The following is a 20,417-nucleotide window of genomic DNA, read 5'->3' as shown; positions in this document are numbered from 1 at the left end:
TTTATGTATATCTTCATCGTATCCCTCTGCTTCCTGGTCCTGTCCAAGGATGATTTTTCAAAACAAATCCCAGATATCACATTATTTAATTTGTATAGAGTTGAGTATGTATTTAGGAATTCATTAAAAGAATAGAATAGAAGTAATAAATAGTATTCAGCACCTTAGCCATCTAGTGAAATTAAAAATAATTCTGTAATATCATTAAATGTCTAACCAATAGTTATATTTAAAATTATTTTTTATTTTATTTTTTTTTTGAGATGGAGTTTAGTTCTTGTTGCCCAGGCTGGAGTGCAGTGGAGTGATCTCAGCTCACTGCAACCTCCGTCTCCCGGGTTCAGGCGATTCTCCTACCTCAGCCTCCCATGTAGCTGGGATTAGAGGCATGCGCCACCATGCCCAGCTAATTTTGTATTTTTAGTAGAGACAGGGTTTCACCACGTTGGTCAGGCTGGTCTTGAACTCCTGACCTCAGGTGATCCACCCACCTTGGCCTCCCAAAGTGTTGGGATTATAGGCATGAGCCACCGTGCCTGGCCAATTTTTATTTTTAATTTTGATATACACATAAAAAATTTTACCTTCTTAACCATTTTAAGTATACAGTTCAGTAGTTTTAAGTACCTTCACATTGTTGTAAAACCAATCTCCAGAAGTTTTTTATCTCTCAAAATTGAAAGTCTAAACCCATTAAACAACTCCCCATTCTCCCCTCCCCCCAATTCCTGGCAACATCTATTCTTTCTGTCTCTGTGTATTGCAGGTACCCTCATATAAGTGGAATCATATAGTACTTCACTTTTTGTGACTGGCTGGTTTCACTCAGGACAAGGTCCTCAAGGTTCATCCGTGTTATAACATGTCAGAATTTCCTCCCTTTTTAAGGTTACATAATATTCTGTTGTATGTATATGCCACATTTTATTTTTTTGATATATCTATCAATGGTCATTTGAGTTGCTTCCACCTATGACTGTTTTAAATAATGCTGCTATGAATATGAGTATGCAAAATGTCTTCCCTGCTTTTAGTATTTTTTGGGTATATAATCAGAAGGGGAATTGTGGGATCATATAGTAATTATATACTTAATTTTTTGAGAAACTGCTGTACTGTTTATCTTAGCAGCTGCAGCATTTTATGTTCCCACCAGCTGTGCACAGGGATTCCAATTTCTCCACATCCTCATCAACACTTATTATTTTCTGTTTTTTGTTTTCTGATAGTAGCCATTCTAATGGCTGTGAGATAATAACTCACAGTGGTTTGGGTTCACATTTCCCTCATGAATAATGATGATGAGCATATTTCATGTGCTTTTTGACCATTTGTATAACTTCTTTAGAGATGATCCTTTTCCCATTTTTTAAATCAGGGTTTTTTTTATTGAGTCATAGGAGGTCTTTACATATTCTGGATATTGACCCCTTATTAAATATATGATTTTCAAATATTTTCTCCCATTCCGTGGCCTGCCTTTTCACTGTTGTTTCCTTTGATTATACACATTTTTCATTTTGATGTTTTGAATTTATTTTCTTGGTTATTGCCTTTGCTTTTGGTGTCATATCCAAAAAGTCATTGACAAATCCAATGTCATGAAGCTTTTCCTATACCATTTTATATTTTAGGTCTTTCATTTAGGTTTTTGATCTATTTTGAGTTAATTTTTGCATATGGTGTAAGGTAACGATTTACCTTGAATTTTTTGCATGTGGATATCCAGTTTCCCCAGCACCGTTTGTTGAAAAGACTATTATTTCCTCATTGAATGGTCTTAGCACCCTTATTGAAAATCATCTTATCATACATGTGAGGGCTTATTTCTGGTCTCTCTCTATATTCCATTGGTCTGTACATCTGTATTTTTGCCAGAACCACATTGTTTTGATTACTGTGTCTTTGTAATCAGTTTTGAAATTGGCAAGTGTAACACTTCCAAGTTTGTTATTTTTTAAAATTGTTTTGGATCTTCAAGGTCCCTTGAGATTTCATATAAACTTCAAAATGGAGTTTTCTGTTTCTGCAAAAAAATACTATTGGGGATTTGATAGGGATTGCATTAGATCTGTACATCACTTTGGATAGTATTGACATCTTAACACTATATCTTTCATCCATGAACATGGGATGTCTTTCCATTTATTTGTATCTTCTTTAATGTTTTTAGCAATAATTTTTTAAAATTTTTCAGCGTACAAGTGTTTTCCCTCCCTATTTAAGTTTATTCCTAAGTATTTGATTTCTTTCATTTCTGCTATTGTAAATGGAATCATTTTCTTAATTTATTTCCTGGCTTAGTCGTTGTTAGTGTATAGAAACACAACTGATTTTTGTGTGTTGTTTTTTCATCCTGCAACTGTGCTGAATGTATTCATTAGTTCTAACAGACTCTGTGTGTGTGGTGGGGGGCGGGGTGGGGGGAGGTCTTCGGGGCTTTCTACACACAAAATTATGTCATTGTAAACAGATATCATTTTACTTCTTCTTTTACAACTTTGACGCCTTTTATTTGTTATTCTTGCCTAATACTTCTGGCTAGAACTTCTATGTTTTGTTACACAGAAGTGGCAAAAGCAGCCTGGTTGTCTTGTTCCTGATCTTAGAGGAAAAACTTTCAGACATTTACCATTGAGTATGATGTTCGTTGTGGGCTTTTCATATATGAGCTTTATTTTGCTGGGTAATTTCCTTTTCTTTCTAGTTTATAAAGTGTTTTTCTCCAGTAGTTTTGTTTATTTACTTTACAGTTTATTATATGTCTCCTAAGTGTCTATAATCTATAGATTCTCACTCAATCCCTTTTTATAAACCTTGTGTATTTCTGTTGAAGTAACCAGACTGTCTGTCCTACAGAGTTCCTGGGAGTCTGGGTTTTCTTGACAGCAACCCTATTGTATTATTTAACATGTTTCTTTGTCCTCTGTATTTCCTACAATCTGATAGCTAGATCTAGGAGCTTGCTTAGTTAGATTCAGTTTCCTTTTCTTTTTTTTTTTTTTTTTTTTTTTTTGGCCAAGACTTTATAGATGGGGTATATCCTTGAGCATCTAGTTGTTGTTTTTAAAACTTCAGTACTCCAGTTGGAGAAGCTCCTTCAGCAGTCCATTACAGAATGTTTTTACTTATGCTGTACATTCTTTCGTTTTAGCTCTAAGGAGGTTGACTAAGAAGAAGAAAACTCAAGAGTTTGGAAGTTTTATGAACCACAGATTCTTAATTGATCTGAATCAAATATCTGTAGCCTTGCTGCCAGAAAAAAAGACTGACAGTTCCTGTTGCAGATAATTAGCTCAGAGCTATTTTTGCTGAGGTGAAGTTTTGAGATGAAACTAAACCACTTGCTGAATTTTGATATTTTCTCAAGTATCAACTCTTCTTGAATAGCTCTACAGTATTATTGCATATTTTTGATTAAGGCTTCCTCGTTACCTTTAGTGGACAAGTAGGTGTCTTGAGTGACTCATGCTGAGTCACCTGGCAGGTGCCACATTCCTTTGTTATCTTTTCAATAGTGTGGTGAAGTTCAATTTACCACCCTTAGTTTCAAGTGAGAGAACTAACTGATAGGATCAGTGAATTAACATGGTTAGTCTATAGCTATGCTTGGTGGCTAACTTTAAAGGCAGATTCCAGCTATCCTACTTGAGGACATTTGCTCTACGGGTAGTTTCTTTGTCTCAGTGTAAGAATAAATATTTATTAGAGATTTAGAGATTTATATACAATCTAACATGCTAATCTTGACTGGGAAGTAATCAACTATTTACATTACAGAAATATGCTATACTCACATCAGAGAGCCAAAGAATAGACCACCTTTCCCCTATATAATCAGTTTGATGATTCAACCAAACTTTCTATTTGTGGGAGAAGGATCCTTTTTTATTTTTTAAATAATACCCCCAAATTTTAAACTCTTTATCTTCTTCCTGGAGTGGGCACAGTCCAAGTCACATGCATTTTACCCTGAGCGGACAGAATACCAGGTACTTGATACAGATACTCCAGAACTGATACTGGAAGACTCTACTTCTCTTTAGTATTATGGTAGCTGATATTTTATGTTAATTTGATATTCTTAAAGTGCTTTCACAAATTTATCCTTCGACTTGACCACAGACAAAACCTTTCTAAAATATTATGTCATTCCTGAAATGCTAAAGTATTGGATCATTTTATGATCACTGAAAAATTTCAGGGACTTTACATTGAAGGCACTAAATTTGGACTCTATGTCAATAATTCCTGTTTATAACCATGTATTACTGGCATACATTTGTAGATAAACTTGGTCAGGGTCAAGATGTTGCCAAGACCTATTCCCCCCAGTCATTTGTTAATTGATTGGATTTGGGCTAAGCTATGTTCACAAATTGTCACTGTTAAATGATTAAATGGTATAAGCAGAAAGGTATATGTGACTAACTTAAAGCAATCACATGACATGGCTATGCAAGTAATTGATTTTTTTGAAGAATAGTTCTAGGTTTCAGTTGAACTGGTGCATTGCTCAGATCCCATCTGAATGATCCTACCTTCCTCTTAGTTCCTAGATCTTCAGAGTATAGGACACCTTTTGCCAGCTTCCTAGAGTTGGGTCATCTTTCCTGGTGATAAAAGCTTGGTTGACATCTTTTGGAAGAACCAGTGATGGCCCCTTCTGGGAGTGCTCATGTTGCATCGTCTAGTTTAACTTCCACCTAAATTAGCTTTACTGATGACTGAGCTCTTAAAAATATGGTCACCTCAAAAATAATTGGTATGAGGAATTGTATGAACATTCTATCGAAAGTGCCTTGAGTAGTAAGTACAGCGAAAGTCTAGTTTGAATGTATGACTCCTTTATGGTAGTGCTGCAGAGATTGAGTGTGTTAGTCCATTTTCCATTGTTGTAAAGGAATACCTTTACTTTTTAGTAGGCACAATACATATAGCACTTCAGAAATTTGAATTTACCAAGATTCTCACATACACAGATGAAGGCATTGTTGGAAGCAAATGACTTAGCCCTGCAAAAACAACAATGCCTTCATCTGGTGTGTGTGAGAGTCTTGGTAAATTAAAGAATCAGAAGTGCTATATGTATTGTGCCTACTAAAAAGTCCATTTTTAATGATACTTGAAGTTTATCACATGCCTTAGCTCACTGATGAAACAAAGCAGGGCCCCAAGAGGAAATATCCCAGTCCTCTGATGATCTAGTACACACATGCATTTATATACCCTTTTCTTTTATTTACTTCAAACCCAATTACAGATTTTCAACATTTGAATTCAAAGCTGACAGACATTAATCTCTCTAGAGACTGTATTTAATGGCATTTCAGTATTTCTGTGCACTGCTTTTGTCCAGAATATTTTTCCTTTTTAACATTTTAATCAAGATCTACTGTGATAGCTGTGATGAGGATTAAAAAAAAAATCAATAAACAATTCAAGGTAGTGGACCAGGGTTGATGCTGGTGATTTGGGTACATGATGAAAATTTTAGTCTCTGCGAGCAGTTCTGTGTTGTAGAAATAAGAGAAAGAGATCTTGAGGCAATGGGATAATTAAAGACCACTTGACAGAGGATGAAGGCAAAACAATTGTTTTATTCCTGGTTCTACAGACACTCAGCCAATTTCATCATTATTTACTTTTTCTACATAATGTTACTTTGAATTAGTAGACATAATTTGCCTTTGATGTACTGAAAACAGCCATGGGTAGCCTAGGATGACAACAAGTTCCTTCACTTCACTTTAGTGACTTTAAGTAGACATTTGCAATTTAATATCATATCCAAATAATTTCGGAGCAGGGTTAGATTTCATTCCTGTGTGTGGGTGTGAAGTTAGATGTTGTGTATTGAGTTTTGTTTGGGTGAAGAACAACTTAAGAAGGCTTCCACTAGAAGAATTTCCTGTACATAAGAACTATAGTAAATGTACAATTTCTTCGTTAAACAAGAAAATTGATAAAACAGTTGACTGTATTTTTTTCCTTTTGAGCCTCTTCACTGTACTATTCAATTTCTACCAGAGAAGTAAATTTCATGGCACATAAGAACATATTTTACAAAATGGTGTAATACATACCACTACTGAGTTTACAAAATCAGTGTTATGCTGACCTTATGGTAATATTATCCACTTCATTAAATAGAAAAGTAAGGCTTCTTATGCAGCTATTCTAAGAATGGGCTCTTCCTTAATCAGGTAGATAGCATTTACTAGTGAACACGTTTAATGTTTAATACTATCTTATGTAGATCAAATGAGATTTTCAGATTCAAGTGCCCATTTTTTCCCTAGGCTAGATCATTAGGAATTGTTTTTTCACTGACAACACTAACAGCTAATGAAAGGTAAAATTTAGTATTTTCTTCTTTTCTTCACTGGAATTATTTGAAATATTCTCTATTTATTGCTTTTCATTCATTTATTCCTCCACCAAAGTTTGGGAAAGCCTTTATGACATGCATTGTGTTGAGTACCAAGGATATACAGATAAGGATATAGGGATAGGAAAAAACAAGGAATCATAGCCTAAAGCTTAAAATGTTGTTTAAAGGCTGTAAAGAGAGAGAAAAATCTAATTGAACAAAACATTCTACACGAAATAGAAACAGAGCCTCCCACTATGTTTTTTCAGAGGATTGATACCCTCTTTTTGATTCTGCAAATAACAGTTTCATACTAAAACTAAAAAGAAAGAAAACCATACTCTGAATCTAAAAAACAGGAGGAGGAAGATACAGGGATTAAACCCCTGGCCTGCCGAGACAAGAACACATAGAGCTGTGGTACCAGCAACTGTGGAGCCCAGCCAGCAAGGATCAGGGAGGTGGAGCTGCGGAACTGGGAAAGGGGCCCAGCGGGGAGCGCTGCCTGTAGGGATGGAGATGTGAGTGTACAGGCTCCATCTGAGACCACGGTTCATGAACCTGTGTGGACAGATTCTTTGCCCCAGTTTAGGCCTCTGCCTAGTTGTGTTTTGAGGAAAGGATTTCATGATCAAGACAACAGTTTGAAAAATCAGAAACAGGCCATCTTGAATATGTAAGCAAAAGTTAGACATATACGGGTCTTTTGTACTTGTTAAATGTTTGAATGTTTTTTGAAAGAGATGAGAGGCTGGAATGAAGATAGTGACAACCTAGGAATAGACCCCAGTGAAGGAGACCATACCAAATATCCACAAAAGACACAAGGCTAAGGGGAAAAAAAAAAAACAAGAAAGCAAAGAACAATGGCAATGACAATAAGGGAGGCTGAAATTTATGGTCCGAGTGACAGAGTGTTGAAATTGATTCAATATGGGGCTAAAAAGAGGTGGCTAGGAAAATGCCAAGGTCTGGGTTGGTAGGATGCCATTCCTCTAAAGAATGAATACAGTAGGTGTCCAGACGAAATGTGATGACTCCAACTTGCCACACATTGAATTTCAGGTGCTTTATGGGACATCTAGGTGGAAATGACCAATAAGTAATTGATATATGAGCCTCCAGTTGAGATCTAAGATCTGATAGAGGGGAGTGGGTGGTGGTTGAAGCCATCAGTGTGCTTGAGTCCACAAGGTGATCTGAACAGAATGAGAGATGGAAGGATAAGAATAAAGTCCTAGGAACCAACGTCATTGATATGGTTTTGCTGTGTCTCCACCCAAATCTCATTTTGAATTGTAGCTCCCATAATTCCCATGTGTCATGGGAGGGACCCAGTGGGAGATAATTGAATCATGGGGATGGTTACCTCCATGATGTTCTCATGATAGTGAGTTCTCATGAGATCTGATGGTGTTATAAGGGGCTTTTCCCTGCATTTGCTCTGCACTTCTCCTTGCTGCCACCATGTGAAGAAGAATATGTTTGCTTCCCCTTCCTCCATGATTGTAGGTTTCCTGAGGCCTCCCCAGCCATGCTGAACTGTGAGTCAGTTAAACCTCTTTTCTTTATAAATTACCCAGTCTTGGGTATGTCTTTATTAGAAGCATGAATGGAATAATACAGACATTTAACAAGCAGATGATGTATACATAGATTCTAGGAAAATGCCCATAAAAGATTGCTGTCATAGAGGAGAAATGTCAAGAAGAGAGTAAACAGCAGTGGCATATGCCACAGAAAGGCCACGTTTTGAAAAGAATGAGAACATTTGGCAATGAGATTGACTTAAAATGAGATGTTACTTTGAAGTGGAGGCAAAGCTCTAAATAATTTTTTGAAAGTGATATAACAAAAAATGGTGTTTTAAAAGAAGTCCTTTTATAACTGCAGCTCTGGAATTTGTTATTGCAAGAAAATTATGTATTATAAAAATAGTAAGATTAAACTAAAGACCTGGTGATTTTAACATCTCAGTTTTGGTTTAAGAACGTGTTTTTTTCCTTGTTCTTAATATGCCAAAATAAGCCATCAAGCCAGAGTAATTTATTAACTGTTCAATGTTAGCTTTTTTCACATTTGACTTGTACTCGTATGAGACTTTAGAAATTTTAACAGTGTTAACGTATTAGCTATTATAATAGGAAAATAAAATCTAACCTTGATATGAGAACTCCAGTTGCTAGAATATGTAAGCAATTCCATGAGCAGAATTATCTATCTGTCCTTCTGCTAGTTTCCTCTTGGGTAAAACACTCAGGGTGAGATGGCTTTGCACTCTGCTTGCTGGGTCATCACGCACAAATCACAACCCTCTAGGAACTCCGTGCTCTGTTTCTAAAGTCAAAGAGTAGGTGTTTTCTAGAGCTCTGCCTTTCAAACTGTAGATTGAGACAGGGCTGTGAAATGGACAGTGTCAGAGTATATCCACACAGTGAGCAAAATCTTGCTTTGGCAAATATATTTCAGCTGTGTGTGTGCACATAAGAGAGATTCTTAGATCCCAGTGTTAATTGTGTTTTTTACTGAGCATTGTGGTTCAAAGATGTCTGAAAAATACTGCTCTCAACTAGAACCCCCTTCCTATTCTAAAATTGTCTCATTCCAGTTAGCTGCCAGACTGTTCTGTTGGTGTAGTAAATGTTTCAAAACAATATCTTGGAGTGGCAGGTATAAAAACTGTTGAGGAATGACAGCTAATAACAAAAGAGATTAACATTAAGAGGTAAATAAGACCAACATCTGTGTTGTATTTTACCACTAGACTGAACAAGCCTTTAAAATTTATTAGTATTCTGACTAGCAAGTCATTACTGTAATTTATGAAGAAAAGTTAAAGTATGCTATATATTAACGAACAATAGAGTAATTCTTTCAATGGTCATATAAATAAGCAACCGTATCAAGGAGAAATAATACTTTTTCAAAAGTAACAATACTATGGCACATAAATTTTAAAATTGGCAATTAAATAAATGTGGTGAGGCTCCATCCTTGCCACATAAAAAGATTCATTGACATGGTTATGAGACAAGTCAGGGTATTTTTATTGGCCTGAGCTAGAGGGAATAAACACCTTAGTCAGGTGTTTTGTTTTAGACACATCTGTTTGAGCTTCCCCTACAGGTTAATTCAGCTGTAGGGTCTATTTGAGCATTTGCTTTTTCCAGCATGCCTACTGATACTTAAACTCCTTGTGAATGAGCAATTTCTTATAAATCCAAGAGTAAATGAGTTAGTTTTTCTTTACAGTAATTTGTAAACTGTAATTCTCCTAAAACCTATGAAATTTCATAGAATTTCATAGATTTCAGGTGTATTAAAAAGGGACAATTTCAGAATGCTAAGGAGTATGAATCATCATACACAAAATTTGAGGGAATCGTTTTCCTTTGTCCCTCCCAGCAGAACTCTTAGACACTCAGCCTCTGCATCTTTATTTCCTCTCTGCCTTCTTATCAACCCTGGGGTATTTGCCAATCTAACCCCTGACGTTTGGCAATACTATGTCCTCTGCTTCCCTTCCACTGTCAGTCAGCTGGCAGAAAAGGCACAGGCAGGAGAGGAACTGAGGTGAGTGAATTGCACCATCCTGCCATATTTCACGTACTCTGTTCCTCCTCTAGGGCTGCTGGAAGGTAGAACTTGGGCCACACTGGAGAGGTGGGGGCAGTGCTTAAGGGGGTGGGATGTACTGTAGGGATGTGGGTAGTGCTGGAAGGGTGTGGGTAGTGCTAAGGGGGTGAGAGGTGCTAGAGGGAAGTGAGCTGTGCCAAGAGGGTGGGAGGTGCTGGAGGGATGTGGGAGGTGCTGGAGGGATGTGGGCGGTGCCAAGACAGTAGGAAGTATTAGAGAGATGTGGGAGGTGCTGGAGGGATGTGGGTAGTGCCAAGAGGGTGAGAAGTTCTGGAGGGATGTGGGAGGTGCTGGAAGGGTGTGGGTGGTGCCAAGAGGGTGGGGAGTGCTGGAGGGGTGTGGGCAGTGCTAGGGGTGGGCAGTGCTGGAGGAATAGCCAGGTTGGGTTGGGTTGACCTCCAGGCTACAGCAGATGGGCCCCTGGCAGGTGCCCAGCAAGGCTCCGCTCCCATCTCCCACCCTTTCCAGCCCCTGCTCTCTCCTAACTGTACAAACATGTACGATTCTGACAAATGAAAGACAAGATTTTTTTTATTAGTCTATGTGAGAATATTGTGTTTGCCATCTTGCTCTCAGATTTATTAGTGAACAAACCAGGCTCGATGAGAGGATGACACCTAAGTGGGAAAGCAAAGGCAGGGTCTGGCCTACAGTCTAGGCCTCCTCTCTCACCACTTCTTGCCACTTCCCAAACTTAACAGGCATGGCAGATGTTAAAGAGTAGGGGTAACACACGGGCATGTCTAGATATTGGAGATAAAGTTAGAGTGTTCAGAAAACAAGGTAGATAGTGTACAAAGTTGACATTGGGCAGTATCGAATCAAAGTCTTTTCTTTGGATTGTATGTTCTTGACTCTAAGACTCAAAGGCACATGACACACATATCATGACACATGGCATACCTGCCCAATGGGGCCTACCTGAAGGCAGTTTCTCTGCTTACAATCCCCCTGGTTACATAATGATGCAAGGAGATTCCATACTTATTCCAAAGGTTTGCCGTGACAATAAAATAGTATATCATAAATTATTGTTCTTTGGAAGAATTGAAAATGGCATACATACGAAAGTTGGTATTATTAATAGAATGCCAATAAACCCTTAAAAAATTCATTTTATAGCCTTGTATACTTCCTGGAAATGTTATCTTTCATTACTTCCTATACAGGATCTTCAGCCATGAACCATGTTGCTTCTTGGATTTGATACACAGTAAATACAGGATAAAACTGCAAATACCTGCATATCCCCCAAGTTCATTTCAGTGCCAGTAGATGTCATCAGGGTGGCTTGTAGGGAGAGGCTGACTACTCACTGCTAATGTCCAACACTTGAATTTTTAGATAGAAACCACGGTGCACTGTGGAATGTAGCACTGCTCTCTGAGTATGGCATGGGCTGTTTGATGCCCGTACAGTGTCATGTGAATCTTAAGATCAGCTCCCTGAGCTGGACAGTGCCTGGTGGGGTCAGAGTGGCCATCACTTCCTGCTTTGAGTACACTTAAAATTGACAGGTTTAATGAATGCAAATAATGATAGAGAGTTATCTAGATTAAAATTACTATGTACTACCCTTCTGAAATTAACCTATAGTGCAGGGCTGTCCAATCTTTTGACTTCCCTGGGCCACACTGGAAGAAGAAGAATTGTTTGAGGCCACACGTAAAATACACTAACACTAATGTTAGCTGATGAGCTAAAAAAAAAAAAAATCATCACTTAGGCCGGGCGCAGTGGCTCATGCCTGTAATCCCAGCACTTTGGGAGGCTGAGGCAGGCGGATCATGAGGTCAGATCAAGACCATCCTGGCCAACATGGTGAAACTCCGTCTCTACTAAAAATACAAAAAAAAATTAGCTGGTCGTGTTGGTGCGCGCCTGTAGTCCCAGCTACTCGGGAGGCTGAGGCAGGAGAATTGCTTGAACCTGGGACATGGAGGCTGCAGTGAGCTGAGATCACGCCAATGTACTCCAGCCTGGGTGACAGAGCGAGACTCTGTCTCAAAAAAAAAAAATCATCACTTAAAACATAGTGTTATAAGAAAAGTTTATGAATTTGTGTTGGGCTGCATTCAAAGCCGTACTGGGCTGCACGCAGCCTGCAGGCTGCAGGTTGGGCAAGCTTGCTATAGTGTATCTATTTTCTGATATTTGTGACAGTGCACTTAGATGCTCTTAATGGATTGTGGCGTAACATAACCAGTGGCTACTTGATTCACTGAATTTTTTGCTCCTGAAATAGACATAAAAAGTTGAATTTCCTTTATTTTATATGTCTAAGTAACCCTAGATTTTAAATTTTAAAAAAGTAAAGAAAGAGTTTTTTCTTCAGTGTGTAAAGCACCATCAACATTTGGGGCTCTTTTTATAAAATAAGTCCCTGAAGTTTGCACACAGAATAAGTCATGCACACTAAAATAAGCAGCTGTTGCCCAAGTCTCTCTCTGTGTCTCTTGCTTTCAGCCTCTCCCAATGCCTGCTTCCTCTTAATGAGACACTCTCTTTCATGTAACCTGAAGTATACATGTTCTTCACCTGTCATATTCTTATTTTAGGATCCACCCACTTCAGTTTCCCTTGGACTGCGAATGGAAGAAATGATTTTCAACTTGGCAGACACACATTTATTTTTTAATGACTTAGAAGTAAGTTCTAATTTTTAATACATATTTTTGCATGTCTGAAAATAGGTGATTGGTTTTAAAATAAAGATAGGATATTATTTTTTAATGTATAATTGGAATAGTGAGACAGAGGTTTGTTGGTAATATGGCAATGTGTTTTGCCTTTATGGGATTTCTATTTTGCTTTACTTTGGCTGTTGATTTTCAGAGTTAGATCCTACATGACCAGTAGTAAAGATTAAAATTTGATTTCAAGAATCTTAAACTTTGTTGATTATCAGAAGCCACATATTTCTCAGTTACATAATCACCACTAAGATATGTCCAACATAATTCGTAACACTTGCATATGTTATGTCAGATTCTTTTTTTCTTTGAGACTGTTATGTCAGACTCTTACTGTATTAGGACCGATGCTTTACTTTCTGGCTGATCCAATTGGTAGGAAGATGTTTTAGTCTGGCCTCTGCTGTTTGGGTTGCCAGGACTGCTTATGTCACACTGCTGTTAATTTTATTGGTCCATTATGATTTCAGGGCAGACTCTTGTAAGATGGCTAGCTGAATTGTTACAGGCACTGACAATCACAATGGTCTTGATTAGCAGCATTCTTAAGAGTAGAGAATATTGTTTTTCATATCTCCATTATGAGAAAATATGACTATAACTACATTTCGTTCTCTTCTGAATAGAGACAGTTGTTTATTTAAATTCCGCTGTTAAGCAAGCTTGTGGTAGGGCTGCCAACAGGCATTAATCATCAAGTTGTTGTTTTGTTCGATTTATAAATGTATGTTATTTCAGACAGGAGAAGAATCTGAAAGATTCAAATAGAACTTTTACTGATCAAAGTTAATTGGCAGCAATTGGCCTTTAAATATTTCCTGATGTTTCCCTTTTCAAAATCAAGCAAAATGCACCTTATTTAATAGATGAGCCAAAATCATTTGAAAAATGCCAGTGTGTGACAGAACTTAAATGCGGTTTGTTCAACATCTGTCCTGTATTTTGATTTCTTTTCATCTGCAATGAAACTACTCAAAGACGAATTGGCAACTTCCAGTGCAATAAAGTTATTAAATATGCTTTATTTTTTCTCTTCCTTAGTGAAAAATTTATTTTACACTTAAGGGTAAAATACAAAATTTTTTTGCAATTTAAAGTGTTTTCCTCAAGAAGAAATTACATGTAAGGCATTACTATTTTTTTAAGGTAGAAATATTCCCATTGAGTGACAAGTTTAGAATTAATTGCCTTTAGAAACACATAATTATCATACTTATTTTCAAAAGCTGTTTCTGATTGATAATTGTTTTCACTTAGAGAGCAGCACAAAAAATTCCACATTTTACTGGTATGTTAAAAAATGCCTTTCCTAAGTTTCCATTTGTTTCTAAAGATACAGAGTAGACTGATTTTTTGTCCTGGGTACAATCTTGTTACCTTTATTGATGTTAATAGGTGTTAATAACAAACATCAAGAAGAAATTTGTAGTAATTTCCTATTGTTTTAAAACTCTGTACCTTCTTAAAAATGCCAAAACTTGGCTGGGCGCAGTGGCTCATGCCTGTAATCCCAGCGCTTTGGGAGGCAGAGGCAGCTGGATCACCTGAGGTTGGGAGTTCGAGACCATCCCGACCAACATGGAGAAACCCCCGTCTCTATTAAAAATACAAAATTAGCTGGGTGTGGTGGCCAATGCTTGTAATCCCAGCTACTCAGGGGGCTGAGGCAGGAGAATCACTTGAGCCCGGGAGGCAGAGGTTACGATGAGCCAGAGATCACGCCATTGCACTCCAGCCTGGGCAACAAGAGCAAAACTCTGTCTCAAAAAAAAAAAAAAAAAAAAGTGCCAAAACTTGCTTATACAGTGCCAAAATTAGGTGGTGAAAAGTGAGATGTTAGGCAGTCATAACTTGTTATAATATAGACCAAAAAACTTCCAAACTCAATTTCAATGTAGTATAATCAGATTTTTGTTTATTGACGTTATTTACACTGATTATATAGAGACTGAAATACTACTCAAATATATTAAAAGCTCTAGGTTTTTAGGGTATAGGAGATGTATTTTTTTCTGTAAACCCAAATTTCAAAAGAAAAAGAAAAAGCAGTCTATGAAGTTACTGAAATATCAGATTCTATTTTTGGCATGAGGACTATTCCTTAGTAGAGGTAAAGTAGAAAAGAGAATGAAGGTATAATTCAACCAAATATATAAAACAATCATGGGAAAATGTTTAAGCTTGTAGCCTTACAAAAGTTGATTTTATGTTAGGGATATTAACAAAAGTATAAATGAAAGATTCATTTAGTCTGTCTTTGGAAATTGTTTACTTGCCCTAGATTTGTACAATATTTTAAAAAATAAATTGGTTTTTTACTTATTTCAATATTTTTTATTTTATTTTATTTTTGAGATAGGGTCTTGCTCTGTCATCCAGGCTGGAGTGCAGTGGCACCATCTCAGCTCACTGCACCCTCTGCCTCCCAGGTTCAAGCAATTCTGCCTCAGCATCCCAAGTAGCTGGGATTACAGATACACACCACCATGCGTGGCTAATTTTTGTACTTTTAGTAGAAACGGTGTTTCTTCATGTTGGCCAGGCTAGTCTCAAACTCCTGACCTCAGGTGAGCCACCTGCCTCGGCCACCCACCCAAGGCACTGGGATTACAGGCATGAGTCACTGCTCCCAGGCCAATCTTTTATTTTATATTTTTGAAATTCAACAAACCTGGGACTGGTCATTGCAAATATGTTTTCTTCAAAATAAAAAGTAAAATTATTTTCTGGCAAAAAAAAAAAAATGTCTATTGGCATAATGCTCCTAAGAACACCAGAATTATCTCATCAGGGAGAAGTGATGTGGTAATGCCTGATTTCACACTCCAACTAGCAATGGATAGTGGTAGGGGACATGAATATTTTAATATATTTAAGTTACATGTTTTTAGCTTTGTAAGGTCTATAGCATAAGTAATTTCAAGGAGCTTAATAGTCTCTTGGTTAGCTTGAAGTATGATGCCTGAACTCTAATTGTTGACTTTTGGTCTTATTTTCTTCTAAATCTTAGCTTTTGCCAGCTATCTCTTGGTATAATTTGGTTAGTTCACTCCTTGCTTAATAAGACATTCTGACTAGTGAAATACACCCCCTCTGTGAGGGGCTTTCAGTAACATTTGTCATATTATGAATCAGTGTACATGCTTAAAATGGTTATTAGGATATGATTTAGAAAATTTAAGGTATAATTTTTGAAGTACTTTAGAAATATCTTAATCGAACTCTAAGAACTAAGTTAATTCATTTTAGTTTCATAAGTCTTGTTTGTAATCTCACTTAGTGACTTTTTTAATTTAAAGAAAATCACAATTTATATCAATTCTGTTGACACACCAGGAAAAACAAAAAGGAGAAAAAAATGTTTTCTGTACCATAAAAAATGTTTGACGTATGAAGGAACATGAGTGACAGGGAGACATAATTATCTTAGGAAATAATATTTTCCCCCCAAGAGAAGGGTTTCGACTTTAGTTCCGTAGTGTACGTCTGGCTTTCCTATTTCTAAGTCTGACTAACGTCCTGCATATCATTTTACAAAAAAACTCTCCATGTGCAATACGATGATGCCTATATGGAAGTCATTTTTTATGAATGACAGTATGGAACTGGAGGTTTTTTCAGCTTCTTTGGTAAAGTATGACTCTTTCTGACTGGTTGGAGAAAGAGTTCTTTCTGTTAGCTTTTTATTGAAAGGCAACCTTCAAACGGAGTGAGGAAAGGCCTTCAGCATACGATAATATTTCAGTTTAACCTGCTGCTGGTCAGTTCTCCTGCTGGATTTTTCCACAGTTAGAAGAAAATATTTTATGAAGATGGATACAGGTCTAAATAAAAATAATGCTTTAAGTTCATGTTGAATTTTCTTCTTCTGTCTGGTTAAGGAATATGATTTCACTGGCATTATGGTTGCCATCCTAACCCATGTTGACAGAGTGACCTTTAAGAGTCAGCAGGAACCAGATCTCTGGTCTCGGGTCACCCGTTACCCCTGAAGAGTAAGGATTGGGAAGAGTGGGAACCCTCCTCTCGTGTCTGTGAGATGGTGGCACATGAAACTATTGCACATACCACGCTCACCCCGTTAGTAGCAAAGCTGTTCTAAACTCCCCTCTCCACTCTTTCAGTGCATTGTTTAGTTGGAGCAGACCAGAGCATTCTTTGCATCAAGATTTACAACATGAATATTCCTTGGGGCCTTCAATATGTAGACTCCTAGCCCGGGTCTGATATTTGAACACCTAGACTTGTTGCCCCTTGTTTTCACCCTTTCTATTAAAAAAAAAAAAAAAGGCCTGGGGCAGAAAGTTCTGGTCCCACTAGAGTATGAGTTTGATGAGTCCAGGGCCAAGGAAAGGGGCTTGTGGATGGTCTTTAGGTAATAGCATTATGTAAAAGGAGAAAGCTGCAATGATTTTTCTTGTAAAGCAAAGAGAAGATTATCCCTTGGTTTAATTCAGTCTTTAAAGTTGCAATAATATTTTCTTACTTTAAAACTTAGGTTATCATCTATAAATTATTTTAATATGTGTTATTTATGTTTATTTTTAGCTAGGAAAAAATTCTTTCTGTAAAATATCAGTTACGCCAATGTTAAGAAACTTCGATTTCAAGTAAAGCACTTGGTACTGACATACTGTTTGTGCTTCCAAAAAGTGTGAAATATTTAATCCGATTCAGAAGTTGATTTCTCAAGTTGGGAAAATATAACTCACCTAGAAAGTCCTTTATTCTCTATAAATAAAGAAGAAACTCTGATGCTCTATGTTCAGCTTTTGTGTGGATGCTAGAGCTCTGGTTCTCTGCTGCCAAAGGATCTCACAGGTGCTTGCAAGGAAGACACTGTAGTTCTTTGCTGCTTCCAAACCCCTCCACAAGCCAAGAGTAGCCATATGAAAGGGTGTGAGCATATGGATAATTACAGTCCAAACCTAAGGGTCCCTATGTATATGTACACACATATGGAATGCCACTTGTCATTTTCAACCCTGTACACAGACTGGTATACTTGGTGATTTTCTCCTGACAAATTCAGCAAACATAAAGGACCACATTTTTTAAATCCTAGTAAACATCCCTTATAACACTCAGAATGTTGCCTTATATATGTTGACCATGAAATGGATATCCTTTAGACTGAATTGTTATGTGTTGTCTTAGACTAGAATACCGATTTTTGTTTCCTTCTTCATAGAAGATAATAGAGTTGACTTTGCCTTCCTGTGTTTTCAGGTAGGTTGTTCAGCCTTGTGCATTTCCTTAGTTGACAAGAGTAACATCAAAACCCTCAGTTTAGGGTGGGGAGGACAAAATAAGTTTTTTAAGCAAGAAATGATTATTAGTCATAATAAATGCGTATTGAGTTTAGCTGCATTGTAACTAATGGCCAAAAAGAAACAATGCCCATATTTTATTATTACTAATGAATAATTTTTATTGCTCTTCTTGTTTCTTCATCATTTCTTATAAGATTGTCATCTTTATTTTATCTGAAGTTAAAAATAGAAATATAAAAGTATATTTAAAGATTTCCTTAACTCTGATTTTCATCAGAACAGTCTTAAAATATAGCTATTTAACACAGTAAAAGATAATATATTATAAATAAATTTATACTCTGAATACTTTATATTCTACTGATAGCAAACATTGTACTTAGCAGTAAAATACTGGAAGCAAACTGTCATTACAAGTAAAAACAAGATAAGAATGCCTTCTATCAGCACTATTATTCAGCAGTATTCTAGGAATTTTGGACAGTACAATAAGACACAAGCTTTACTTAATGAAATGAAAGAGATTCAAATTATTTTTGTAGATAATTTGATATGTAGAAGACTGAAGAAAATCAACTAGAATATTCTTAGAATTTACAACAGCCTTCAGAAAAATGAAGAAATATAGAATTCAAAAATCAAATTGATTTGAAATTTTAATTATAATTTAAAATAGCGGTAGTTACTAAAACACAAAAACAAAAAATATCATAAAAGGAAATTTAGGAAGAAACCTTATAAGAAGTATTTGTGAAGAATATATGAATAAACCTGTGACATCTTACTGAGAGATATAAAGGAAGGTTTCAATAAATGAGATGTCTTTCTTTCTCATTTTTGTAATATGAAAAAATTGTTCTAAGTTCTATTTGAAAGGATAAATCAGCAAAAATACCTAGCAATTTTTGACAAAACATGGGAAATGAATGTCTGACTGAACCAATTATTAAAATGTTTTATAATTCTACAATAGCGTGAAGAATTATGCGGCCTAATGTTGACATTGGACTAAGTATGAGAGAAGAAACAAACTGCTCAGGCACAGACCCAACTTAAAGAAAAATTGTGTATGTTTTAAATAAAACCAAGCAAATTAATAGTGAAGTAATAGATTATTCAGCTTCTATGCTAAAATAGGTAAACAGTTAAAAAATGAAAGAATGAAACACAAGGAGAATATATAGGTAAATGAAAAGACTAAATAAGTCAAAATCTTCAGATGGCCATTTGGAAATAAGTATTGAGATCCTATAAAAGGTTAATACCATTTGTACCAATTATACATCTAGGACTTTTTACTAATCAGAGATAAAGGCAAGAATTTATAACAATAAACATTTCTAACTTATGAAATCCATCATATTTTGTTTCTTCATCTGGGTGTTAGTTATACCCATGCATTTAGTTTATAGAAATTCATTGAGCTGTAATATTTGTTTAATAAAAAGTTAATTTTTAAAAACTAATATTTGAGGAATATACACACATATTGTTGGCTCACAATTCTATTATAAAATGTATACCCTATGTATAATATATTCACTGCTAATTTCTCTAGCACAGGACCTGGCCCATAGGAGGACCCAGTAAATATATATTGCATAAATAATGGAAATATATGTTGACTGTCTTATGGAAATATAAATCGTAGAAGTTTAACATTGATTGTTTATGGAATTTGTGGTTTTATTATTTTTTTATTTATGCTTTTCTGTATGTCCCAAATTCTGTAAAGCATATGCTTATTTCTTCTGTAGTCAGAGACAAATACTATTTTTAAAAGCCACAGATAATATTAAAGACACAACTGAGCCAAATATAACCAATCAAAGAACTAAGATTACTGCAATTCATTAAGAAATAGGTAAAGAAATAGCTCAACAGAAGAAATGAGCAAAGACCATGAACAGATAATTCACAAGAGAAAAGCATTCAAATTATCAAGCTACAGACGAAAAATGTTGGATTTCACTTCTAATAATCAATCAGGGCGGATCACGAGGTCAGGAGTTTGAGACCAGCCTGGCCATCATGGTGAGACCCCATCTCTACTAAAAATACCAAAATTAGTTGGGCATGGTAGTGTGAGCCTGTAATCCCAGTTACTCTGGAGGCTGAGGCAGGAGAATCCCTTGAACCCGGGAGGCGGAGGTTGCAGTAAGCCGAGATCATGCCACTGCACTCCAGCCTGGTGACGGAGTGAGACTCCATCTCAAAAAAAAAAAAGAAAAGAAATGTCAAGTCAAACAGCCTCTTGCACATGAAATAGGCAAAGGTTTAAAATAAATAACATGATCTACAATGCAGTAAGATGAAAACTTGTGTACATTGCTGGTAAGGATATAAAGGGATACAAGTTTTCAGAAAAGCAGTTTCATAATATGTATTCAGAACTTTGATGTGCTGATCCTTTTACTCAAAATTCCACTTTTAGCATCACTT

At 36.4% G+C, this 20,417-nt stretch overlaps 1 protein-coding gene across 27 annotated transcripts in view; it reads left to right on the top strand.

Annotated features, from left to right (window-relative positions):
- Positions 1 to 20,417, top strand: part of EYA1 (EYA transcriptional coactivator and phosphatase 1) — a 350,662-nt gene that overhangs the window by 290,835 nt on the left and 39,410 nt on the right. For 22 of the 27 annotated variants that reach the window (XM_047421528.1, XM_011517484.4, NM_001370333.1 and 19 more), the window contains one exon: positions 12,568 to 12,657. The exons of the other annotated variants lie outside the window; for them this stretch is intronic. In XM_047421528.1, the coding sequence (XP_047277484.1) occupies positions 12,568 to 12,657 (90 nt within the window). The remainder of the gene's footprint in view (positions 1 to 12,567; positions 12,658 to 20,417) is intronic. 27 annotated transcript variants of the gene reach the window in all.

Source organism: Homo sapiens, chromosome 8, assembly GCF_000001405.40.
Source record: "Homo sapiens chromosome 8, GRCh38.p14 Primary Assembly".
Classification (NCBI taxonomy): Eukaryota; Metazoa; Chordata; class Mammalia; order Primates; family Hominidae; genus Homo; species Homo sapiens.
The sequence above is the reverse complement of the archived record's forward strand: the minus strand, read 5'-3'. Positions and strand labels throughout refer to the sequence as shown.